The sequence below is a fragment of the Homo sapiens genome, chromosome 14 (genome assembly GCF_000001405.40).
Source record: "Homo sapiens chromosome 14, GRCh38.p14 Primary Assembly".
In the NCBI taxonomy this organism is placed as follows: Eukaryota; Metazoa; Chordata; class Mammalia; order Primates; family Hominidae; genus Homo; species Homo sapiens.
Window position 1 is genome coordinate 96,972,781 of NC_000014.9, and position 27,285 is coordinate 97,000,065.

General features: G+C 42.3%; 2 annotated features.

Annotated features, from left to right (window-relative positions):
• Positions 12,838-13,038: a silencer, noted in NCBI's record as "peak2247 fragment used in MPRA reporter construct". NCBI's record gives its function as "represses an SCP1 promoter by STARR-seq MPRAs in K562 erythroleukemia cells {active_cell/tissue: K562}" and the evidence as "EXISTENCE:reporter gene assay evidence [ECO:0000049][PMID:32103011]".
• Positions 16,028-16,529: an enhancer, noted in NCBI's record as "H3K27ac hESC enhancer chr14:97455145-97455646 (GRCh37/hg19 assembly coordinates)". NCBI's record gives its function as "activates a minimal SCP1, AML or CMV promoter by ChIP-STARR-seq in primed H9 embryonic stem cells {active_cell/tissue: H9 hESC(primed)}" and the evidence as "EXISTENCE:reporter gene assay evidence [ECO:0000049][PMID:30033119]".

Here is a 27,285-nt window from a genome sequence, read left to right on the forward strand (position 1 = left end):
CTTTTGGACATGTTGAGCTTTTGTGTATCATTAATAAGATTAAGACCACATGATCAGATCCTCAGTTTCAACCCTAGGGTTATTGAAATTTACTTATTTTATCTTCAGTTGAATGACTGTGTGATCACTATAAACCTATCCTTACATCCTTATAATTCTTTTAGCACCAAATCAGATCATAGAGCCAGTGGTTTCACTTCTTGGCTCCAAATAAGAGTAGTTTCACCTTCATCTTGGAAGATATAAGCCATCTGACTAGAGATGAATTGGGGGATTATCACCATTGGCTTCGGTTTATCTTGTCTTCTAGACCAACTTCAAATTTTCTCCTTTTTCAGAAGAAAATGTCTGACTTTCATTTTGTTCCCTTCAATTTTAATCATGACTGGGAACTCAGTATTTGCATATAGAGCCAATTTGACCTTAAAAATAGTAACAAATTATGAAACTTAAAACAACAATGACAAAAGCAACCTCAAAATAGTATAGTCTTGCTTATAGTTGCCCAGATTTTACATTTTGTTTATATGCTGATATGGATAGGTCTGTTTAATTGCTCAGTTTCCCATGTATTAAGATTACCTCAAGTTCTGTATTAGTGAAACATTCTAAAGAAGAAAACATGCTTTTCTCTTACTTGTCCTCATAGCCATCCATACATCCATTTGACAGATCTTTACTGAAAGAATAAATGCATGAATTTATGAATTGCCTAATTCTTCTTCTGTACAATCCTATGAAGGAAGCATTATCATTATTTCCATTTTACAGATGAAGAAACAGAGGCCCAGGCTAATAAACTTTTCTGAGTTCCAACAATTAGTCAGTAGTAGTAGAACCAGGACTATACCACCAAACCACCAAATCTTAATGATGATTTTGTCCTACCTTTGATGAAAATCCTTCTTTTCTAGGCTTACTGGTGGCCTTGACCTCTCTTTTGCCAACCTCATTCTTTTTCATTTATTTATTTACTCATTCAGTAATTATTCAACCATAAGTTATTGAATGCACTGTGTTGGGTGTTGAACATATGGAGACAAGAGCAGAATCATGCCTTCTTTTATTTAAATCTCTAATCATGTCAAGAACTCCCTAATCTTAGAAAAATTTTCTGTTGACCTCACTGCCCAGTTTTGTTTTTTAGCCCATATAATTTTCCTTTTTGTGGCTGAGTTCCTGCAATGACTGACTGTTATGAACTGAAAGTTTGAGTCCCTCCCTCTCTTGAATTCATATATTGAAGCTCTAATCCCCAGTGTGGCCATATTTGGAGTAAGGAAGTATGATGTCATAAGGATGGGGCCCTGATCTGATAGGATTAGTGTTCTTAGAAGAAGAGACACCAGAGACTGTGTCTCTCTCTCTCTCTCTGCACAAATGCACTGAAGAAGGGCCATGTGAACACACAGCAAGAAAGTGGCCATCTACAAGCCTGGAAGAGAGCCCTTACCTAGACTCAACTCTACTGGACGTTGGTCTTGGACTTTCAGGCCTTCAGATTGTTGAGAAAATAAACTTCTGTTGTTTAAACCATACAGTCTGTGGTATTCTGTTATGGCAGCCAGAGCTGATTAATTCAGTGACCATTTTGCTGTTACTTCCAGTTCATTACCTTTCTCAATCCCCTGCAAGCTGGTGCTGGTTTGCGTCCTTGCAACACTTGTAAAGGAGGTAGCTGTGGAGGAGTGATAAGACCATGGCATTTGGAATCAGAAAAACAGGGTCTAAAAGTCATTTCCACAGGACTGAATGATGCAGAGGTACAATGATGGTAATTATAATCTCAAGGTTGCTCAGACCCCTAGTAGAAGACCTGTTTCAGGGTTGGAAAATTGAAGGTCTGAACTGAAACATCTGTAAAAGCTATTGAAAGGGAGATCCTCATGAAAAAACTTCCATGCAAAATGAGCTCTTAAACAAAAATTAAAAATCACATGAAACTCAATGCAACAAGAGACAGCCAGTATACCCAATGCATGAGAGAATTCAAATCTAGGAAAATAGAATAATAATAATAATATAATAATAATAATGATACCTAACATGTATTAAAGGTTGAACATGTGCCAGGTATTGTTCAAAATGACTTATGTGCATTAATTCATTTGGTTTTCATAAAATATGGACTATGGATTATAATGATCATAATTATTAAGTAGAAGGGGAATAGAGGTACAGTAAGGTTAATCCCAATTACAGCTATTTCAGTGGCAAAGCCAGAATTTATCTATCCAGTCTGGTTCTGAATTCTTAATACTTAACTGCTATGCTATGTCACTTGTGCTGTAGATAAATCTGAAAAGATTTAAAGTGAGTATGTTTATAATTTTCAACTAGATTAAGGTCAGAATAGCAACCTTAAAGAGAAAGAAGTTGAGAGAAAGAAAGAAGCTATAGGAAATAAAAAATATAGTTATAAAGCAAAAGTTGAATGGAGTAAATGAGAGATTAGAGATAGCCGAAGAGAGAATTAGTGAATTGGAAGCTGCAAATGAGTAACATTCTTTCACCTCCTGAATGAAGCATACAGCAATAAAAATAAATACCAACAAAGAGATGTAGAGCCATAAAGAGCAATTTGAAAAGTTCCAAGCAGTGTTAAAAAATAAAAATCCACATCTATACATAGCATAATGAATTACAGAGTGGTAGTGATAGTGATAAGCAAAGGCAAAAAGAAAAAATGTGTTCTGTGAATTTTGGACAATTATAAGTATTTTTATGTGCCAAGTGCTGTGCTGAGATATTTTCATATTTGTTTAGATTTAATCTTCTGAACCACATGTATTAGCTTTTCTGTTTTAAAAATGAGGCAACTGAGGTTCCAAAGATTTAAGTGATGTGCCAAGGGCTTAATAAATCTCTGCTGAATGAAGGGGTGATGTGCAGCCATTTATCTTCTCTGAGCTGGTTTTATTTTTCTCCCGCAGGTTTTAAATGACAATGATAAAATTTGCATTTTTAACTTCTCTTTCTTACTTATAATGCTGCTTATGTATGATGTCTTTAGAAGTAAGAAAGTGAAAAAAAAGAACATTGGTCATTTTTACCTCTTTACATTCTGTGAAACTGTGATTGTTAACTTTATAGCTTTGTGACTTCTGCATCTTTCATTATATTATTTATTTATTTATTTATTTTTATCATGGCATTTATTATTTATTTTTTATTATTATAAATGTATTGTTCTTGGGTAAAATATCAGGTAATATCTAAGTAGACACTTGGCATGAGATGTAAATAATGCAGAAAACATGTTGAAAAATCAAAATCCCTCTTTACCTCTTCCACTTCCCTTGCATGCACACATTGGCTCAGAGGCAATCACTGCTAATAATGTCTTTTTCAGACTTGTCTGTATTCATTTACACACTCATATTTACATTGTTCTTTATGTAAATTATAACTTATTATATATAATATATTCCAAGGGTTTTTTTTCACTTAATAATACGTTCAAGGAGTCTTTGAGTAACAGATATTACTAAACTCATTTTACCATTTCCATATTTTAATTTTTTAAAAATTTTAAGTAGAGATGGCATTTTGCCATGTTGCCCAGGCTGATCTCGTGCACCTGAACTCAAACAATCCACCTGTCTTGGCCTCCCAAAGTTCTGGGATTACAGGTGGGAGCCACAGCGTCTGGCCCATTTCTATATTAAAGGATATTTAGGTAGATCCTAGATTTTCTATTAATATTATAGGTAATAAACATTTTTATAAATGCTCCTAGGGACATATATCCTAGTATTTTTACAGGATATTGTTCAAGAAGGTGAATTTGGGGGTCAAACTATTTTTAATTTTGCAATTTAAAATTACACACGCTACAAGTGTGTAACCCGGAACATCATCAGATAGGTTTATTTTTTTCTCCAGGAAGGAGCACTCTGGCTGCTTTGTGGAGAGTGAATCAGACACTGTTAGGGAGGCAGTCTGGAGTTGAGGCTATTGCTGTGGTCCATGCAAGAGGCGGTGAGTAACCAAGACCATGGGTGGCAGTGGAGATGCAGAGAAGGGGTGCATCTGACAGAGACTTTGAAGGGAGAATCGTATGAACCTGGATGTGACCTGCATCTGAGTAGGGAAGAGGAGGAGCAGGTGAATAAAGTTCTATTTGTGAAAAAAAATTTCATCATATGTGACATCAAGTATAAACAATTATATATTTAATATAGTTTATTATAAATGCAGTAACCTTTGTATTAGATTATGGTTTATATTTAAAATTGTGTGAACATTTAAATAAAATATGAGTAAAGAAACCATAGAAAACTATATGCATTCTCATGAGAATAATAATAATCATAAATACTCATTTAGTCTTTACTAGATGGCAGATTGTACATTTATTAGGTCATTTAATCCTCATCATAAATCTGTGAGGTAAATACTATGTTATTATCCCCATTTGACAATGAGAAAACTGAAGCATTGGGAGGTTAAGTAATTTGCTTTTTTTTTTTTTTTTTTTTTTGAGACGGAGCTCATCCAGCTAGTGAATGTCAGAGCCAAGATTAGAACCTAGGAAGTTGGGTCCAGAGCCTTCTTTTTAAAAAACCACCAAGATATTATATCTTGCTTAGAGAGTATAAATATAAAGAAATGATGAGCCCTCAATTTAGAAAAGTGGTTACTTTAGGGTAGGGGAAAAAGAGGATTTGATGAGAAGACACACCTGCGGCTTCAGCTGTGTTGGTAATGCTTTCTTAAACTCTTAGGTGGTACATGGTGATGATTGTTCTGCCATCTCTAACTCTGTGTACATGTTAAATATTTCAGAGCAAATATTCATGTTCCACACATGTGAGAGATGTTGTTAGATCAAAATCTTTAGACATGCTAAACCTCTTTCAGAGTGTGTGGCTGAAATTAAGCGACTCTCAGACTTAGAAGAAGCACACTTATTAAAAATCCACAGTAAATATTTGTCGATCTTTGCTTTGTGATTTTCTGGATTAATCTTATTTGGAAATCCACAGTCTCCCACTGAAAAAGCAATCCGAAAACAAAGGACCTGGTGTCAGTTAGGAATTTTAAGCAATAGAGGTTGGACCATTGCGGTTTAGACAAATAAGGTATTATCTTTTCACTTAACAAGACATTTTAGAAGGAGGCAGCTGCTAGCTAGCATGGGCTCAGCAGCTTCAAAATGTCAGGCTCAGGATGCTTATACTTTTTGGGGTTTTTTCCTCATAGTGCCAAGATGGCTGCTGCATCTCCAGCTATTGGGTCCGTTATGAGCAGCAAGGCTTAAAGGATGTAGCTCCCCGCTGAGTCAACTCCCTTTAAAGAACTTTCCAGAAAACTCCATCCAACTTTTGCTACCTACATGTCACAGGCTGCCCCAACTGCAAGGAAAAATGGGAAATGTACTTTCTTTTTCTTTTTTTTTTAAGTTGGCAAATTACCACCTGCCAAAATATAGGGGTTTTGTTAGTGAAGAGGAAAGGAAAAACAGATTTTGAATATTTATTAGCAGTCTCTGCCACAGACCTCCACGATCCTTCTTTTCTCTTTTTTTCCAGTGATGCAGAATAAAGTGGCAAATTGAACCCCACTTTTGTTTCTTGCTAATTGTTCTCATAAAACGCCCTTTTCACTCCAAGCCCAAGGCAGCTCATTTTAGAATGTCCAGAAAAAGAAAAAAAAGGAAACATGGAAAATTCTGAGTCACAGAATATTTCCTATATCACAGCAGAAAAAAATTGGACTCTTCTAAAATAATGGTACTGGGAAGACTTTGTGTTTTTCCCAATTTGCTATAGTTTTGAGTTGTTAAAAGTCACTTTCAATTTTTAGAGTACTAGAAGAGTTTCAATCAAGCCATTTTAAGTAAGACCCATTCATGACAGAGTTTATTTCCATTCTGTATTGTCCTTTTCTTTTTGTAAATACCACAGAACTTGAGTGTTTGCTTTTTCATTTGTTAGTTTATTTATTTATTCTAGGGTTCCATTCAACAGCCAGACAGCTGGGTTATGGAAATGCCAATTATGAATTCCCCACAGATCTGAGCACTGAATTTTCCACAAAACTGTTTGATTTTTTTTTTCTCTCAGCAAGGCAAGCTAACTAAATTTTAAGCAAACTTTAGACAAAGAACTCAATAATACCTTTTGCCATGATGCGTTATGGAAATCAGGAGGACATTTTTTTTCTCCAAAAGAAATCATATTTTTGAATCTAATGTTATACTGCACAAGAGGCAATAGAAGTTTTTCTATGTGGTAAGTGACATAATTACTTTCAACTAAGCTTTGTAAAGCACTTTACAGTTTACGGAGCACATTCATATGCATTATCTCATGCTTGGATGCTATTTCAGAAGTCATTACAGAGAGGGCCACTATGTGGGGCTTGAGAGGCTGTTTGGCCACGTGCCAGTGCCCTCTGACATTTATTTCTGTCTTTCCTGATGACTTGCCGACCCCCACCCCAGCCCTAATAATTTGACAAAATTACTGATTATTTCAGCATCAGGTAGATACTATGAGCTTCCTTTATATGGAGATTTCCTTTACAAGCTCTTCTCAGCAAGGAGTTATTTGAAAACATTTATTTTATTTATCTATTCAGTAAACACTGAGTGTTATTTGGTGCTAAACATTGTGTTTAAATGCTTAGTTACATTTGGCCATTCAACAACCCAATGCCTCATCTCATTTGGCCAAACAACCCTACAAAGAAGAGACTATTGTGATCCACAGTTTATAGCTGGGGAAACTGAGAACCAGAGAGACGAAGGGTAGCAAGACTACAAGCACCTAACCCTTACTCCCTGCCGGTCCCCTAATTGTAAAGTGCTTAAGTCAATAAAAGCAAAGTTTTGTTTTGTGAGACTGTACTTCTGTTTCATGTCAGTTTCATGTCAGTTTCACGTGGGCTGTCGCTGTGTCTGGCACTGGGCTGTGAGCTCTGGAAGGGCAGGAGGAGGCGTGTTCCTTTACATGCCCCCATAGGACTGGGCGCTGGGTTTTATCTGTAGGAGATGCCGAAAGAACTTTGATTTAGTAGTTGGTTGTAAAATTAATTGGTGTGTCCCAAGCATAAATCAACCGTAGAGGTGACGGTGGCCAGAAGCAAGGATAGCTGGGGAGAAAGACTCAGATAAAGACTTGAGTGCTGTGCAGCAAACTCCGAGGAAGAAAAGCCGCGTGCGAACTGGAGAAGGACATATGTTTTTGTTGGCAATTGCTCCAATTTCATTTGGACATCAGATATTCTAAGTAAAGAGAAATTCAGAAATGAAGTTGCTGCGAATTGAGTTGAATGAAAAAATGATGATGATGTTTTACGACTATTGACTTTGTTCAGCTAAAAAGAAGCAGAGTGCATATTTATGAATAATGATACCTTGCATGAATGGCAAGATGCTTGAGGTGATTACTGTAATTCTAAAATCATTGAAGGACAGGACAGAGCTAGGTAATGATCAAAAAAGAAAAAAAATTCATAGAATGGGGGAAAATAAATTTTAATGGCTAACCAATGTTAATAAGTCAAAACAAATTAATCCTTTGCTTTAATTTGGTAATTTTTAAACTCTATCAGATGTGAAAAGCCACAGATGTTGAGTTTCATTAATATGGAATTAGTCATGCAGTTGCATATTTTTTAAAATAGTTATTTTGTGCACTCTAAATTAAAAATTTTAAAGAAATTAGTTTTGAGGCACAAAGCACATTACGTGCAGTTTTCTTGATCTGATTATAAATAGGCTTTTTTTTCTTATTAAGAGATTTCTGTGTTCTTCTTTTGTTTGAAGAAGATTAACCAAATTGATTTTTTATTTTGTTATTGACTAATGGTAGAAATACAGTGTGATGTGACAGTTGGTGGATGTGATTATCACTCATATTTCAGGAAAATCCTGCCAAAGATGAGATTCCATGGTCTGGGATACTTGTGTCTTACTATGGGAATGTTCTCTGCCTCAAACCATAAAATAAAGGCAGAAAAGGGGGAAGAAGAAAACAGGGTAAGTCACTTTGTCCTGTATTTTTATTTTACAAACAAGGAAAGAAGCTTGGAGAAATCACATGACCTGCCTAAGCCACCCAACTGTTAGTAGAACAGCCCAGTGGTAAACTCTTCTCTGTCTCTCCATTGCTTTAAAAAACAAGATCCAAATCCTTTATATGACCTACAAGGCTTTGCAGTTCTGGTCCCCAGCCAAATCTCCAGCCCTCACTTATACTGTGCTTTCCTTCTTTGCGTTCCAGCCATTGGCCTTGATTAAAATCTTTGACTGCAGGATGCTCCCTTCCACCACAGGGACTTTGCACAAGTGGTGGCGTGTTTCTTTTCTTTCATTTAGTTAAATCTGGGGCCATCAGATCTTGTCCCCATTGGTACCTCTCCTGAACCCTGAATTTTTCTATTTTACCACGTTGTGGTATTGTGTATCTTTCTGCCCGTAGTATGACTAATGCAAGTCATATGACCAAGCCTGATGCCAGTGGGGCGAGGAAGTCTCATGGCCATAAGTGGCTGTACCTCATCCTCTTACAGGCAAAAGAGGACAAGTAATAACCTACCATAAGAGCCCAGAAAGGGCCTGGCTCAGGGTGCACTCAACTGATGCTTCTGTTCAATAGGGATTTTGCTTTCTGTTGAGGCCATCTGTGGTAAATGGGATGGCAAACACAGCCACAACTAAAGAGTGTGACTTAAGTAGGAGCTCAGCAAATGATCATTACTATCGCAATGGCACCGGGGGAGCGGGTCTGTATGGGTACTGTTGGTGCCCCATGCAGATGCCCTTTATGCAGCCACTGCAGAGCACCAGCTGCTGAGAGTGCTGGCTGTGAACACTCCAGCTGTCCCCTTTCTGTGGAGAACTGCCCTTGGCAGATGAACGTCCACTTGGCTTGGGGGGCAGCAGATTGCCGATAAATGACTAGTTCAGGAGGAACGAAGTCTTCAAGGAGCAACTCTGTGGATGTGTTTATGCTCCAGAGGCCCTACCCTACCCTTGGAGCAGGTCATGGCCTAGCTTGACCTGAGACAGTCTCCTTGTTAACTCCTCGCCTGTCCTGCAGCCCTCTCTCCTTTATCGACCTATCCTGAAGAACTTTCTGTCACAGTGAGTCATGTGGCCTGGGTGGAGATCCATGTCTAGCCTCTGCTTTGCAGGAAACCTGACCTCAGATAGAATCACTGCAAGAAAGGTTGCCATAGGCTGCGTGAACAAGGCCTGCAAATCTTTATGGAGAAGTCAGTGGTTCACCCAAGACTGCCATGATGAGTAGGAGTTTGGTGGAGGGTCCAGGCAAGGAAAAAGCATTCTAAGAAGAGGGAACAGCATATGCAAAGATACTTACCGCACCTCCTTCACTGTGAAATGGGCATGTTCTCCTCTTTCTGGCTTCTGGGGTTGGAATGTGTCTTACAATGGAAAAGCTGTTCCTGAGGATGATAGCTTACCTTCAATGGCAATTACAATCAAGGAACTACGTTAGGAATGGCATGGACACAAGGAAGGTTTTAGTGCACTGAAGAGTTGAGTGGTATACCAGATTCATTTCTACATGATTCTCTGACATTCTTGAAGAGCTAAGCCCACAACCCCAAACTCCTAAGGCTGTGTAGATGCAGCTCTGTGAACTGAGATGTTTCTAGATCTTAGCTGTATCTCTCTCTGGCTCTTAAATAGAAATGGCAGGGCCAGCATTTGGTTGTGACTTCCTTAAGGATCCAAGACCTCAGTCAATGCGGGGGGTAGGGGGTGGGAGGGCAGAAGCAAACCTGTGACCTCAAGGCAGTTGGCATGAGGAAGTCAAGCTGTCACCTTCCCCTTTGGCCTGAGAGGATGTAGATTTCAGTGACACTGGAGGAGTGACTTGCTCATCTTTCCCTCTGGCTCCCATTCTTTCCCATGCACTGTAGTTCAGGGTGAGACCAGCACAATACATGGCTCTCTGTGGGTCCCATGGCTCCAGACCCTGAAAGTCCCTTCATGCCAGCACATGGAGCCTTAGCATTGTCTTTGGCACATCTTGGTTTGACAACTGCATGTTTCCTTCCTTGGCTAAATATATTGCTCCTCATCCCCCAATACTACCACTCAAAGGCATGAAGATGCAACAGATCACACACTTTAAATATTTGTAGCTGTCAAAGTGGCCCTTTTCAAATGATTTCCCGAGAATATCTATCTTTTGTGGTGATGGGAAACACTGAGCTGGTTTTATACAAGATAAAAACCCACAACTGTCTGTGGTCATCTTGGGACTTGGTTGCTTCCTGGCCTCCCATTGGGGATGACCCGTTGCCTGGAAGTGGAGGTCTTTAGCCCAGGGGATGAATCCATGAAGTTAGGCCCTGTTGCCCCAAGCCCTGATGACTCACAGTGTTGTTATACCATCTCCCTCTTGCACACTATGTGGACACATTTGGGGAGTTTCTTGTCTCCTAGGGACTTATTTCCACCAATAATATATTTCCAGGGACTCTGGAATCCAGAACTGCTCTCTTTATCTTCCCACCGTGGCTTGGTTCACCCTAAAGAAGCAAACCAGTGCTACACATCTGTCAGCTAAAATTCACAGAGCTATTTGGAAGCAAAACCAAGAAAAACAAAACTGATTAGGGAAAGATCTGCTTTCAGAAAACCTATTTCTGTCACAGGGGGATGGATAAATAAAATAATGTTTCAATAATTTATGCAGCCTGCACGCGAAAAAACATTGGAAATGTGAAATGAGGACGACACATAAAGAACAACCGAAGTTGATAGCTGCTTTAATCAGTTCGGTTGATAATTCTAAAATAAATTGGAAAAATCAGTCTTGCTCTCAGCTTTTGAATGATGATGGGATGGTAGGGGGAATGTGTGTTCTTTTGTCCTGCAAAATGCTTATTCTTATTGGGTCTTGCCAAGGACACAATCCTCAGTCCCCAGTGGATCCCATCCCGGGTCAGCTTTTCTCCTGTCTTCACCATTCCATGCATGGTGTGCATGTTTAGCCCCCAGACCTGCCTCCCTGAGCGTGCTTTTCATAGAACAACTCAGGACTTCCTCATGGATGAGGCTGGTGGGCCATTGGAAGAGCGGGTTTGGAAGTCTCTTATTTTTCAGAGCCTTCCACCTCCCAAGTCAGCACTGAGCTGGTCCTGAAGCACCTGTGGGAAAGACAGAGAATCCCTTCTCACTGTTCTGTTCTGTTCTGTTCCGTTCCGTTCCGTTCCGTTCCGTTCCGTTCCGTTCCGTCCTGTCCTGTCCTGTCCTGTCCTGTTCTGTTCTATTCTGTTCTTGCCTAGCAAGTCAAATATCCAGGTATAATAGGAGACTCTAGGAAAACAGAAAAATAAGACCTGGGTCTCGCCCTTAAGGATGGTGGTGTGTATAATTTGAGGTTCGCTTAGTAAGATTGGACCTCAAAAGTGGCTGTGTTCAACACACCTCATTCTCTAAACCAGATACTGGTGGTCCTCTGTTGTCTTAACCTGCGGAACTCCTTTGCTGGCCTCCTGTTCATCGCCAGCTCTTCCTGGGTAGGGATACTGGCTGAGCAAACATCCTTCCAGCCACATTAGAGTCCATGGCAAGGCATGAGCACAAGGACAACTCTTCTGAATCTACTGCTGGTGGGGAGATGGCCTTGGTGTCGACACATGTAATCACAAGGTAATTCAATTTCACTTGATGATCCATCCTCACAGGCAACTGGGAAGCAACCTGTTGGGTATCCTCTCCATTTCTGGAATTAAAGGAGAGCCAGTTGACTCCCTTATGAGGATGCCAGGGCAGGGAAGAGGGAAATCCAAGACACAGCCAGAGTCATAGACTCCCAGAATGGGAACCCACCCTTGACTCCCTGAACTCCCATGGTAATGGAGAGAAGACGGAAAACAGTATGGTGCCCAGAAGCTCAGAGCCCTGTTTTGACAGTCTAGCATCACAGGAGTGGCAATATGACTTCCCAAGCTTGGCTTAAAGGAACGCATGTGGACAATGCCTTTCATAAGGTGAAAACTCATTGGCCTGCTGCTGTATTTCAGTTCGTGGCTACTTCATTCTGCCACCCTCCATCACCACAACAACCAGCATCCCATGACCAGAGAGGTGAGGGAAGGCCTGAAGGTACAACCCTTGCCTTCAGTTGAGTGAAGCTTATCTTTGGCTGTGCTCCAGAGACCGAGTGCCATATAATATCCCCAAAAGTACTGATGAGTTTCTAGGTGGTTGGAAGGGCTCCTGCCAGCTTGACTTCATGACTAACACTTGAGACCATGCCTGACTACCTTCATGTCCAGCACTAACAGATCAGGTACATACCAGAGGTCTTGAGTGTCTTGCATACCTTTGTAGCTTCAGACCCTAGAAGAGTGCCCAAGTTTGTTGAGTCGGAGAATGAATGCACATTCCAACCAGGGAAAAGGGATGTGGAAACCATCTAGGACAAGAGGCTATGCAGGTTTCCCTGTGTGACACTGTTTGCTAGATATAAGATGGCCCAGGATGTGAGAAGCCAGGACCTGGGGAACTCATGTAAGAGATATAGAGGGCAGGTTATGAATTCAGACTCTCCTCCCTCTGCTTCTTCCCCAAGTTTGGTTCTTACTCAAATTCTAGTTTATGATCTCCCCTTTTAATCATGTTTAACTATCATCCAGTCAATACCTCTCTCCTTCCAATGCAGATATGCTTCCTGCAATAGTCCACACGAGTGATCAACCAGCCTTCTGTCATATTTGCAGTGACAGAGAGCTCCTTACCTTCCAAAGTAGCTCAGTCTGTTGTTGGGCATGCCTCTATTACAATGCACAGAAATCTGCTCTGGCCATTTCTACCTTCTGGTTCTGAGTCTGACCTCCAAAAGTCTCTAGGAGCCTGATTTACCCTGTCCCAACTCTCAACATTCCTTTAAGTGTTTGATGACAGACATCATGCCCCTGAGTCTTTGCTTCTCAAGAGAAACAGTCCCAGTTCTTACAACAGTTTCTTGCATGATATGATCCTTGAGACCCTTCATCTTCTGGCTATGTCTTGAAGCACAATGTCCCACTAGGGGCAACCTTAAAGTAAAATGGGGCTATCTTGTGTTATCCCCTTGACCCAGATGATGGTGAGAGGAGTTGGCTGAGCCAATTGACTTTTCTCTCTCAGAAGGGATCTTTGTACATGTGTCCACCTGCACGAAAGCCTTGGGTACCAGTGTAGTTTCTCTGCTTGGACATCTGCTATTCTTATTCCTCTGGGAAATACCACAGGATTGACCTGAGCCTTTTGTAGTCAACCTATTTTATTCTCCTTGTTTGGCATTGACTGGCCTAAGTGGGTGCCTAGTAAATGTTAGGGGAATGAATAAATGCATTTAGGTGCACAACCTTGGCACACTCAAGACCGGTCTGAGAGCAAGTGCTTAAAAAAATTCCTGGGCCCCAAGAGCTCCATGTTTCAGTCACATGATGGTCTGACAGGGATGCTGGAGTCTTATCTCTCATTCTTTCTGTCTGTCTGTCTCTTTCTGTTTTTTGGAGTTCAGCTCTCTTTTCCTCTCCAAGCCCTCCCTTCCTGCCTGGCCCCTTTGTCGACACTTGATCATTTACATCAAGTTGACATTCGCAGAGTTTACTCAGGGGTCTGTAATTGTATTCTTTCCCTGGTTCTGCATTACCAACCATGAAAATGGAATCTTATCATCCCTGACCAATTTTTAATGTACAAAATGATTTGGCTGAGGTTCAAAGGGAAGCACAATTGAAATCAGGTGAATGATACATGTAGTTTTTTCAGTTCCTCCGTGCTTAGATTTGATTTTTTTTTTCCGGTATAGCATAGAAGAAGTAGATTATTTTTGCAAGTTATATAAGTGCATTTCTGTGCTGTGTAGGTATGAATCTTTATACATCTGAAAGCACGAATATGTATATGCATGCATGTTTGCTTGTATTACCATACTCACATTTCACATGTGTGCACCTATTTAGACATAAGCAAACAAATATAATTATATTGTTTGCAATTTTATTGATGGCAATCAAATTTGCAATGATCCTTAAAATGTATTCAAAGCACCCAAGGAGCTAGTGCCCAGGATTAATGGCTGGAATATTCAAATCAAGCTCTGACACTCCTTTGTTAATTCAGAAAGGAACCCCCAGGGAGAAAGTGGCACTCTCTGGTTCTGGCCAGAATCATCCCAGTCTCGGATATACTAATGTGTCTACCATGATGTGCTTTTGCAAATGTTGTTCTTGGAGTAGGCAAGAAACTGGAATGTTCTGCCAAAAAGTATAGAGATTTGGTAAGTGATTTGTTGGAGAGTATCCAGGACTGGTGCCCCTTTTCTCATCTTCCGAGATGAACTCAAGCAAGCAAACCTATGCACCTGGCTTAGAAGGGCAAAGGCGTTGTTTCCCCTCCAAGTTTCTAGCTAGAAACCCTTTGCATAGAGCAAAGGGGCCACTGTTTAACAAGGGCCAGGCCTGGGGCTAGAGGGGAATCAGGCTGTATCACAGTGAACTTCCTCTGCAAGCCCACGAATCTGGCTTGTGGTTTTAATGTTTCTAAAGAGGAAATTGGGGACTCAGAAAGCTTCATGGTGATGGTAGAGTCCAGATTTGAATCTCTATCGAGAGGGTTTCGAGTGTGGCCTGTGATTATCACTCTTCATGAGCCCCTGTTGAGATAGAGCACGGACACCTTTTAGGAGCCTGCTGGGACCCCCCTAAGCATGCAAATACAGGAAAAATCTTGAGTTCCTTCAAGGAAAATTCCAGGCACCTTGTTAGTCTTGAGAAGTAAATGAGCAACCTGACAAACAGGAAGGTAGTAGTAACTTAAGCAATCATATTCCAAGCGAGGAAGGCTCACAAGGTGTTTTTGTTCCCTGTAGAAACAAAAAGATAACATCTTAACCCATGTTCTTGAGTTGTTTTCAGAAACCCACATCCCCACTGGATGGAAAATGCCCACTGCTCTCATGTAGACCTCAGTAAGGGGGAACTGAGGACTGAACTCTTTGTTCTAAATTTTTTCCTGTGGGGCCTGGAGAGAGTGATGTCCACAGGCCAGACCTTAACATTCCTTTCTGCTGACCCCAAGCTTTTAGACAAAGCCTTGCTTCCTTAACCAGTTGCAAGTGAAAGAATCTCTGAATCCATCTATGACCTCTAAGCCCCACTTCAAGGTGTCCTACAGTTTCGGGCTGAAGCAATGCATAACCTCCATGTATTGATTTACATTTTTGCTGGTAACTTCTGCTTTCCTGAAATGTACCCTGTCTTAAAAACACCCATGCTTGTAAGCCATTGGGGAGGTTGGGTTTTAAGTATTAGCCGCCCATCCCTCTTTGCTTGGAGGGACCCTTGGAGACCCTGCAATAAATGTCTCACTTTCTCTCGCTGCAAATCCTGGTGTCAGTGTTTGGCTTTTTCTGTGCACTGAGCAAGCAGACCCAAATTTTGTTCTGTAACGCTGTTGAGCAAACTCCCATCTTCATCTCAGAGAACATCATACTTGTGTCTAATGTTGGAGTCCCTGAGGAACTTGATCAAATCTCTCAGGATATCTTGGCAGAAAGGATGAGTATATGGGGGTAAAATACCAGGAGGTGTTAGGGAGTTATTGTTAACAATTATACTAGAGGAAATCAATCATTGGGTCAATGTCGTTGCTCAGGAAGGAATTCTGGTTGCGCCCAGGCCTCTGCCTCAGGCTCAGTCCAGTTGATCATTTCTCCCAATCCAGATGAAGAAAGAGAAGGTTTCTTATCAGATTTGCAGCTGGTCCAAAGTGAGGATGTATTGGTTGATGATTCTAGACTTGAAATGACCTTGATGCTTGGCATTTTGGGTCTAAGTGATCAAGACAGATCACATACTGCCCAGAAGTTCCTAACTCACTGAAACATCTGCCTCAAATTCCAAATATCTCCACAGTGCCACTTACACACACAATATTCACTAAGGGAAGGAACTATGGGTAATAATAACAGTTATTTACTGAGCACCTTTTTTGTGCCAGGCACCTAATCAATTATCAGTCTCTTTTTTAATTCCCCCAATATTCTCTAGTATTTAAAAAAGGTAGGTCACTTACTCAAAGTCTAGGGATCTTTGGAACAGTCAAACCAGAATTTGAACCCAGATATTGGGGCCCAAAGTTTGCATTCCATTTGCTGTGCTGGGCAGCCTTCATGAGCTCAGCTCAAATGCCTTCTTTCTGCTCAGGGGCTGAGCTTGCATTCCAAAGTTTGTATTCCATTTGCTGTGCTGGGCAGCCTTCATGAGCTCAGCTCAAATCCCTTCTTTCTGCTCAGGGGCTGAGCTCAAGTAGAGGAGCTGGGAAGGAGGAGCGCCTCAAGACTGGGTCATGGGAATTTGCAGTGGCCTTGAAAATGTCCATCCAAATGTTGGGCCAATCAATTTCCAATGTATCTCTGCAGCAACCCACAGTAGGGACCACCACAGTCACAACTACCCTCTACTAACCATCTGCAGGTATGTCTAGTTTATCCTCCTGACTAGAAGCTCCCTTAGGTGGGAGATGGTTCAGGAGTCATTTCTTTATGCCCAAAGAGCCTGCCCACGGCCTGCATGTATCTGTGGAACTGAATGGAAGTCAGCAAGCAGCAGCCCTTCAGATGCTCCTTCTCAGGCCCTGAAATTATGGGATGCTGTTTGTGGTCATGGATGGGATAACAGCTCTTTTGTTTATGAAAAGGAAACCTGTCACGTGTCTGAAGACATGACAGGGACTTGAATTGCAAAGCAGATGACTGCCCCTTGTGTAAAATGTGAAAGAGACACACAGCATTTTAGGAGGCATTGGCATCACTGTCTGTCCTGTGTGTGTGCCAGTGGCAGCGTTGGCCTGGACTAAGCATCCCTTCTGCACAGGCTGTGTGCATATTTCTGTGTTACACACATAGACGTGTGTACACACATATACACTTGTAGATATGGTGCTGCTGCCAACAAAACATGGCAAGTGTGACTGTCATCTAATGAAACTACTTCTGTGTGCTTAGGAAGGGGTTTTATTAGTGCTTACTGAAATCACTTCTGGTAAATCTCTCTAACTGTGAGGAAGAAAACTATGTGTTATTTTCACCAATACAAGAATTAGAGGAGAGTATTTATGCTTACATAAGATTATGCTAAATTAGGCTTCTGATGTACAGCTATGATTATATAACTCTTCTATTCAAAAGCCTTTAATATTGTAAGTACAAATGGCCTTTATTTATTTTTTATGGTTATTTTTGGCAATCCAAGGTCCTCCATAATTTAAACCCAAACTCCTTCTGTAGCCTTGCCACCCCCTTATCTCCAATTGCACCTGCACCCTGGTCACATGGCTCCCCCCCCACCCTTCCATCTGGGTCCTGCACTTTTCCAACTCTGTCCATGTGCCCAGGTTGCCAGGTTGTTTCCTGTGCTGGAGATGCATTGCTCACTTTGATCTGTTTCAGTACTGTCCATCCACAAAGACCATCTCACAGGCCTCCTCCTCCTGGAGCATGTGCCCATATTCTTGATCAGAGTGAATTGTTGTTACTTTCATGTCCCAAAGTACCTCGTTCCTGTCTTCTGCAGGTCATATCTTTTTTAGAGATTCCATTGACTTTGGAGTCAGAGAGTCTGTTTTTAACTTGGCCTCCGTTACTTATTAGCCATGTGAGGGGTTGGTTATTTAACCTCCCAGAGCTTGAGTTTTCTAAACTGGAAGATGGAGGAACAATACCTACATTACAGGCTTGACCAGATAGTTGCATAAGGTAACCTATGTAAAGTGTTTAGCCAAGTGCCTAGTACATAGTGAGGGCTCAAAACAGATTATTTACCTTCCTATTTATAATAGTTACTAGCTGCAAATGATAACTTCAAAATCTTAGTGGCCTAACAAAACGAGTATTTATTTCTGACTTGGGTTAATTCCTTAAAAATGAGTGTTAGGCAGCCTCTCATGCATGGAGTCAGGAATCTGGCTTCCACTTCAGCTCTGCACCCTTGAGGTGCCAGAAGCCTCGCCATTCAGCCAGAGGATAGGGAAAGAGCAAGTAGAGGGTTACTTGGCACTACAGGCCTTGGAGTGGCAGCTGTAGCTTTTTGCATACATTTCTTTGGCTTGATCTCAGGTACCTGGCCACATCTCTGGCAAGGAAGCTGAAGACTGTAGCTTAGTTATCTGCTGGGGAGAAAGAAAATGGAATTTGATAATTGCATAGCATGAGCTTCTACATTTATTGCCCTTCCCTTCCCCACCCCAAGAAGTTAGTGTTCATATTAATTTTCTGTTGCTATGTAGCAAGTTGTCACAAACTGGGCACCTTAAACCGACACACACTTATTATTCCATAGTTTCTATGAGTCAGCAGTCCAGGAATGGATCAACTGAGCTGAATCCTCTGCTCAGGTCTTACAAGGCTATAGTCAAGGCATTGACTTGACTGCATTCTCATATGAAGGCTCAACTGGGGAAGAACCGGCTTCTGAGCTCATTCATGTTCTCAGCAGAATTTATCTCCCTGCATCTGTAGGAGTCTTGGGGCAGTGGCTTTTTCTGGCTGACACCTGGAGGTCTCTCTCAGCTCCAAGAGGCTGCCTACAACTGCCAAAACTTCCTACAGCCCCTTGTCATGTAAACTTCCTCAACATGTTTGCTCACTTCCTCAAGCCAGCAAAGGCCATCTGTAATATGAGTCTTAACTAGTTTAACATAATTATAGGAGTGACTTCCCATCACTTTTGCCATATTTTATTGGTTTGAAGAAAGTCACAGGTTCTATTCACACTCAACTGCCGGGATGACACAAGTGTGTTAAGACCAGAAGGTGGGGATCACTGGAGTCAGTTATAAATAGATCATGTAAGATTTCAACCTCAGAAAGTGTGCAGGACACAAAATATATAGAATTCATTATTTCTACCATCTAATGAACCGCTTAATGGCCACCTACTATGTGCCAGGTATGTTCCGATGCTGGGGATGAAAAAAATAACAACATTATGTGCCAGTTTGCTCTTGGATCCATTCCCTGCTATTCTCTGCCTTCTGCATTTCAGAAAATATTTTCTGAAATCTCTTTTTCTCTGGATTCCAGATAGATTTGGCCAATGGGAGGCAAGGATATAATATTGCTTCACAGCATTTATTACCTTCTAACAAAGTGTATAATTTACAAACTTATCTTTATTGTTTACATCTGTCTCTCTCCCTAGAATGCAAACTCCATGAGGTAAGAGATTTGAAGGTATTGTGTAAAAGGAATGGAGAACCAGAGTAATTTTACATTTTTCTATTTCTGGTGGCTTTTCTGCCAAGCACTCTGATGCCATGGGCTACGATTCCAAAGCGCCTCCCAACAGGTGTGACTAAGTGAGGAATGAACAACCCAGGGTCTGTTCAGTAGCATATTCCTTGTGAAAACTGGGTAAAGGAGAGAGAACTTCAGAGGATAGATGCCCCAGGAGGACAATACCAAGACTAATGAATGAGCATGATGACAATTAGCTGCCATCCTGTGATGGAGTAATTGATTGAATAATTCGCTCATTCATCAAGTGCTTGCTGCGTGGTTCCTTTGTACCAGGCTCTGTTCTAGGATCTTGGGATACGATCACCAAACAAAATACCTTCAAATCTCTTACATTCTAGAGAGCAATACAGACATGAACAATAAAGATACATTTGTAAATTATATACTTTGTTAGAAGGTAATAACTGCTATGAAGAAATATTAGAGCAGGGAAAGGGGGATCAGAAGGGCCCAGGGGGTGCAAGAGTGGGGCAAAATAAAAGCTTTTGGGGGTTAAGTCTCTTTCTCCACTACCTCTTTCCCTGGACTGGGGGGTTCCATGTGCATGGAATTCTGCTAATGATCTATTGAAGTCAGTATTTCTATCTCCACTTTGTAGATTAGGAAACTAAGATTCAGAGAGAGCCAGAGACTTATCCAACCTGGCTCAGCTGATAGGTTGTAGAGTCAAGATTCAAATCTAGGTTTGCCTGTCTGCAAAGGTTTACATTTTATCGTTGTTGTTTGTTTTTTTCTTGTTTTACTATGTTGCCTCCTGTGGGTGCAGATTGCACTGCATGGATGAGACCTGGCTGGGAAGTCAATAGATTTTGGTGTTAGCAAGCTGTGTGACCAGGGAACAGCCACCTTCCCTCTCTGGACCTCAGAGTGCTCACGTATAAAGTGATGAAATGGCAGAGAATGCTGTGCGTTCACCAAATCCCATCTTGCCTTCCTGAATACTCAGATTATAATTCCCAGTCTCCTTTGTACTTAGATGGGGCTGTGGAATTGTTCTGTGGCTTGTGCAGTGTCGGTGGAAGTGGGATAAACCTCTTGTGCAGCCCCAACTCACTCTCTCTGTGCTGGAGAGATGTAGGAGATTTGATGGAGGATGCTGAAGTCCTAGGAGATGTTAGAGCCATGCGATGGAAGAGTCCTGGTCCCCGAGTGACTGTATGGAACAGAGACCCCACTGCATTGGAACATGAGATAAGTGAGAAATAAACTTTGGACACAGGTGTTATTGTCATGGTGATTGGCATATACAGGTCGGGTAGACCAGATGATAAGATTTCCAACTGTGCCTATGGAGGACCTTACTGGGGATAGAGGTGGACAGGATCTGAATGCTCTGACTCCTGCTTTCAAATTAGACTTATTGTTGAGATTTTGCTGACAGAAGAGGGTCCCTAGTTAAAGTGAGACTGAGAAACACTGGACAAGATAATTGCAATGACTCTTGCCCCTCTCAGTGGTTGAGTGATACTGAAATCTGGGCCATAGCCTCATCTCTGCTGAGGTTCCCTCTACCATGTCGGAGACCCTCATGTGTTTGGATGGGCTCCACTGGGCAGGTTCTGGGAAGGACAGATGGTGAGCAAATACTGACTTTGGACCAGACTATGTTCTACTCCCTACTTCTAAAGACTTTACATTTTAGTGGACAGAAAACATGGAGCCACGTATTTGAGAAAAATATTTGTGTAGTAGAAAAAAGCAGAACGATTAGAAGGCGGAGGATTGAACTCTGGTCTGGCCCTCTAACTAATTTGCTGACTATTCTTGGGTCTCCAATTTCCTTTATCTCCTGGACTCAAGTGATTCTCCCTCCTTTGCCTCCCAAAGTGCTGGGATTACAGATGTGAGCCACCATGCCCAGCTCCCAATTTCCTCCTGTATAAAATCAGAGAATCACTGGATACATTCCAACTATCACTTTTGGTTCTTCAAATTTTTCTGATGCCATCATCTACAAAGCAGCTTTGTCTGGGTTGGTATCCAGAGTGATTATGGCACCTGTGTGCTCAGCTGATTGAGGACAAATGGGCAAGGACAAAGAACAAAACACTTTGTGGCTGCAGAAGCCACCTGTGTCCTAAACTTGCTCTGTAGACATTTTCTTTCTGTCCCAAAGAATATTGTAGCAACAAAACTTGACTTGTGTAGTACAGTACTTTGGTCTGGAGCTGGTGGGGAGATGGGGTAGCCATGGTTCTGCACTTCAGAGCCACCTTAACGATGCAATTCCAGGCTCCCTGCAAATTTGGCAGTGGAATAGTGTGATGGCCAAGGAGACAGCTTTGCTATTGTCAGACAAACCTGGGTTTGAATTTCCACCTAAATCTCAGCTCTACCACTTACCAGGTGTGTGACATTAGACAAGCTGCCTAACTTCTCTGAGCTTCAATTTCCTCATCTGTAAAATATAGATAAAATCGGAGGTAAAAAAGTGTTGTTAAGTATTTAATTGAGACAATATGATGATCCTGATAATAAAAAATGATGATGATAACCATGACAGCTAAGATTTCTTAGGCATCTATAATGTGTCAGACTTTGGGTCCTGCATTTTGTTTGTTTTATCTCATTTCATCTTGACTGCAGTCCTCTAAAGTATGTACCGTGCGTGTAACATGCTTGGCACAGGTTCCTGCACATAAAAGATGTTGGATATGTGATTCAGTCATCCATTCACTCATTCATTCATCTATTTACTCATTCTACACATCATTTTTGAATGCCTACTGTGTGTCACGCATTGTGCGAAGTCCTTGGCTCCCTGGCATGTGCAGTCAAGGAGAGGAATGGTCATCCAACAACTAATTATACAACTAATAAATGAATTGCAATTGGGCAGCTTTAAGAATACTGAGGGATGAGATCTGATTCCTGGCCAGGGGAATCTGGGCAGTCATTCTGGAGGAGGTGGCATGACCTGGTCCAGGAAGAACAGGTGAGCCTGGTAGTGAGACACTAGGAAAAGGCTTCCCAAGGAGAGGTCAGTGGAAGCAGAGCCATGGGAGCGGGAGAGCCGAGGGGATATTGAATGTCTGCCAGGAAACTTGTGGATTGATACAGGAGTCCATCAGGCTGGGCAGTGGGATGGAGGGCTGGCCAGCCACGTGACGAAGGGTCTCAACTGTGGGGATGAGTGTGGGGCTTTATTCTGTAAGCCAAGAGACACCACCCTAAGTCCCAGAGCAACATCAACGGGAACTTGCTCTTCACTGGAGATGGCAGCTTGTTTGAAGTTCTGACTCAGCTGCTCATCGGCTGCATAACCTCAGGTGAGACATCTGACATTTTGAGCCTCAGTTTCCTCAACAGTAAAATGGGGACAACACCACCCACTTAAAGTTATGAAGTTTAAATGAGACGGCATTTGTGAACCTCCTTTGCAAATGCAAAGCCCTGAGCACATGCATAGTTACTTATTCCGACTGCTCCTGGCCAGTGGAATGGAAGGTCACACCCGGTGTCCTCTGATGTTCCTTCTGGTTCCAAAATCCCAATTCAGAAAGAGAGGGCAGGTCATGCCCAAGTTATGAATAGTGCCCAATAAGGATGGGAGAGCCTGACTCTATGAGTTGACCCGGACATCAAAACCACATATTGTTCTCGACACCATAAAGTGTCTTGCAGAAAATCAGAGACTATTTCTATGTGTTTAGAGGAAAAAAAAATCTGAGAAGTTTTAACTAGCTTCCCTTAATTAATTAAGTAAGCCAATCAACTTTTTTTCTCATTGCTGATGATAACATTCCCTTGGTCTTTTCTAAACCTTGGAAGAGAAACAGACATTGCTTTGCTACGGCTCGGCAGGCACTAGGATAGAAGGTTCAGTTTGTGAGGTTCCTTCCTGTTGCAGCTAGTTTTCATGTCGGGTTACCAGCAGGGTGTGTTAGGATGCTCCCGAGGGGGTCAGGTGAGGGACACAGGGTCACTCTCTTAGTGAGTCCTGTGAAACACTAACATTAACATATTAATTCACAAAGCTCTCAGTTAATGCCAGACCTCCAAATTGAATCATTCTCTGTTGTTCTGATATGCTCTAAGATCTCTTTTGGATGGGAGAGTGTGAATGTAGTTGACTTTTAGAATCTGAGGTTATTTTATTTATTTTTCGAGTGTGGGCTTATTCTTGCTTTCACCTGACAGGTTCTCTAACACCGTGAATACCAAAAAGAAGGGATTCCACGGTGCCTTCAAAATGTACAGCTGTCTTTCCTCCCATGAAAGCCCAGGGATGGAGTTGGTTTACTTTTGAATGCTTCCCATTAGCACACACGGATGACATCCAGCCCTTGAACCATGTTTAATTGAAAATGGCAAATAAACATTGCCCAGCCGGAGCTCCCGTGCCTGGAAGCTAAATTAAAAGGAAAAATGACCAGCTTCCTGACTGTCCACACGGCCTTTCCATATGTAACGTGGGATGTTGCATTTGGAGTTGCATTAATTTTTTATCATTCCTTAGTAATTAACATTGTATTTCTGCTGATAAACCCCATCAATATGGTGATTTGATTATCACAACATAAAACTACTCATTAAACTCCAATTATGTTGCTCAGGTATAATTTGATTTTGATTGGTTAGAAAAATGCTGTTGTGTTGCCTTTTTTTTCCTACTCCCCCTTTTAAAATATCCAGTTAAGTGCTACATTTACAGTGCTGCTCATGTTGCAAGGCTTCTTTAGCGCAGGACATGTCTTACCATGTTTACTAAGAACCCATTGATATTTAGGTGCCAACAGTGGGGATGACATTTATGCAATCTAATAGTCAGAAACCTCCAGATAATTCACCCTTCCCATCCCTGGTGGGAAGCTTCTGGTGGGAGTGATCATCTTTAAGGAAATAGGGGATCCAAGAAGCAATAACCAGTGATGATTCTTCCTGTGCTGAACAAACGGATGTGAGTTTCTGAGGACTATCAAATAGGAGGTCGATGGCATCAAAGCTGCCTTTTAAACTTGATTTTGCATTTATCTCTTTGGGGAATGGTGTGTGCACCCACACACCCTCTTCACACAAAGAATCTAATCTGGTCAATGAGCAACCGAGGCCCTCTCTTGGCTGCTTGACCCCTGTGAAGATATTGGCATCTTGAATGTCAGTTGACTCTGCCACAAGAAAAGAAGGGTTTGGTCTGACAGGTTAAAACATAATTTGAATGTTCAGATTGTAATGTCAACGTTCAGCTAGTACGAGTCTGCAGGGCCAGGGAAGGGATGCTGTAGTAATGAGTTGATTCATTTCACAGATATTTATGTGACATTTACAATGGACCAGGCACTGTATTGGGCCTGAAATCTAGGGACAGATGAGACTGATGAGGCTGCACGCTCATGGAACTTGCAGTCCAGTGGGGTCAAGGTCGTGACCGGGTGGAATCCATCAGGTCTGTCTGTCCTCCATGCTGTTCTTTGAACTCACCAGGCATGCCCCTGCCTCAGGGCCTTTGCACTGATGCGCCCTCTGCCTGGAATGCTCTACCCCGGGAACTTACCTGGCTCACTTCCTTGGCTCATCCATGTGTCTGCTGAGAAGTCGCCTTCTTGGAGATGTTTTCCTGATTTACCTAAATAAAATAGCAGCCTTCATCTGTACTAATCTCCTCACACTGAGTTATTTCTTCATAGCACTTAACACTACAAGATATTATGTTGTTTATATTTATTTCTGTTCACCAGTGGAACAAAAGTTCTGTGAAGGCAGTGACTCTGTCAGGATTATTGTCATATCTGCAGCACCAGAATAGTGCCTGGCACTTAGGTGCTTTGTAAATGTTGTAAAGTGAATCAATGATTTACTCATCATTTCAGGTAATAAAATAAATCGGGATCATGTGAAAGTGACTGTTGATGGAGGAAACCCTTTATGTAAAATTGTCAGAGAAAGTCTCTGAAAAAATGACAGCTGGGCTGAGATCTGAATGACGCAAGGAATCCAGCCATTCACAGACCTGGGGAAAGGACGTCCAGGCCATGGAATTACAAAGGCAGAGGCCTTGTAGCAGGAACAGGCTTGGAGATTTCAAGGAACAGAAATAAGACCAGTGCATCAAGGGGAAGGTGGCAAGAGAGGAGGTGAGTGTGGGAGCCAGAGGCCGAGTCACGGGCCTTGTAGGGCTTCAATCCTGTAACCTGTGCACCTGGCCCCGCTTGGCCCTGGACTGCTCTGCCTCAGTCAGCAAGAGGACGAGGTCTCTGATCTGCCAGCAGAAGGAGATCTGGGGTGGTCAGTTTCCAGCTCAACTCCTCCCAGTCCCCCAGGACTTGCAGGCCCATCAAAGCCTGACTTCTGTGTTGCCTCCAGGACCTCTGAGCCCCCTCTGCCAGGGACTCATGGTTTCTGGTTGTCCTTGTGGTGTCACAGTGGTCCTTCCTTGGAAAGGTCTTGTGGGTGTTCATTTCTAACATCTCTCTGAGCCTCTCCCCAGTGGCTTCCTATACTTGAGAGTAAGAGGCATCTTGCTCTTTCCCAAACTCCATAAACATCTATGTTGTCTATGTCTTTGAACATTTGCTTAAGCCCCCCTTTTTTTGTCTGTCTGAACTTTCCAGCTCTTCTGTCTCTGCCTGGAAAATGTCAATTTCAACCCTGGGTCCAGCTCAAATGCCTTCTTTCCTTCAGTGGACCATGTCCCTTCCTCTCTAGCAAAACGAATTCTCTCTTCACTAAAATTGCAATGCTCTGTTACAGCATGTGCTGCTGTTTGCTGGTCTTACCTGCATCTCTCTTAAAAGAAATGTGAGCTCCCTGAGGGCAGAAGTCGTGTCTTCTTGGTCTCTGTACCTTCAGGGAATGACCGGTGGTAGAGTAGATGGGCCATTAGACAACAGTGGACCGCATGGGCCATCATGGTGTGTGGGTGGGTGGGTGGGGGTGATTTACCCGGTGCAGTAATCAGGGATGCATTCGCTGGAGGGAATTAAAGAACAGAAAAAACTAACACAGAGTCATCACCATGGCCCTGCAATTCTGAATGCTGTTGGTGACCAGGTGCTCCCCTGCTCTCCGATGGTCATCTTGTTTTCCCAATTCCACTTGGTCATTGCTGGTATAATGGCTACTGGTAGCTGTGAGTTGTTTTGTTTATTTGCACGGCCCACCACATTTTCCATTTTCTTTCTTTTGGCTTTTTGAGGAATTACATCCCAACTCAGTGTGGACTTTCTGGGCCTGACTATCCCAGGCTTCCACTCCCATCTACAAGTATAGAACCTGATCCTTTCAGACCTAAGCAAGGTGTCTTGCTCAACCTACCTGGAGTGACTGGCTTAAAAATATACATGGAAAACTAGAGCCCTTCACAGGCCTTCCCCACCCACCCCACCGCTGGATATAAAGAGATAATATTACTTTTTTTCCTGTGGGGCATAATCTTTAATGCTGTTGGCTGGGGACTGACATGGGCTATCTGTCCAGAAAGAAGGAATAAGACTGGCATGGGAAGAAAAGCCAAGAAGAATCAAGTACAAGCACGAAAGACTCTAGGACATTTTTTGAGCCTTTGTGTTATGGGATCTTTGGGGTGTCACTTTTCTGACTGGAAACCTGTGGCCAGTGATGTCTTTCCCTGAGTTTTGCTTGGGCCCGCTGTGTTCATTCTGCCCACTCAGCCTGGTAGGCTTCACTCAGCTCATGCTACCAGCCTGGATCCCATGCCTCCAAGGAAGACTGGAGTCAGGCACAGAGTGGTGAGGAGTGTGTGTGAGCAAGCATGGGATCTGAACACTGTGCAGTCAGACATGCTGGCTGGCTGTTATGGGGCAAGCAGCTCCAGGTGCTGTCATGGGTGCCAGCTCTCTGCAAGACTGCAGCTGGATTAGGCACACCACAAGTAGCTTCCCCAGCTGGCACTGGGGAATGCAGTGGCACCAGGAAGCTTGGAGACTTCAAGAACTACAGGGCCCCAAAGAGGAAGTCACAGTCCTGGCTTGGGGAGCTCCCACGTGTGGGCTCCCCAAAGGGCCACAGCTCTTCTCTCCTTCTCTTCACTCACAACATGGCAAGC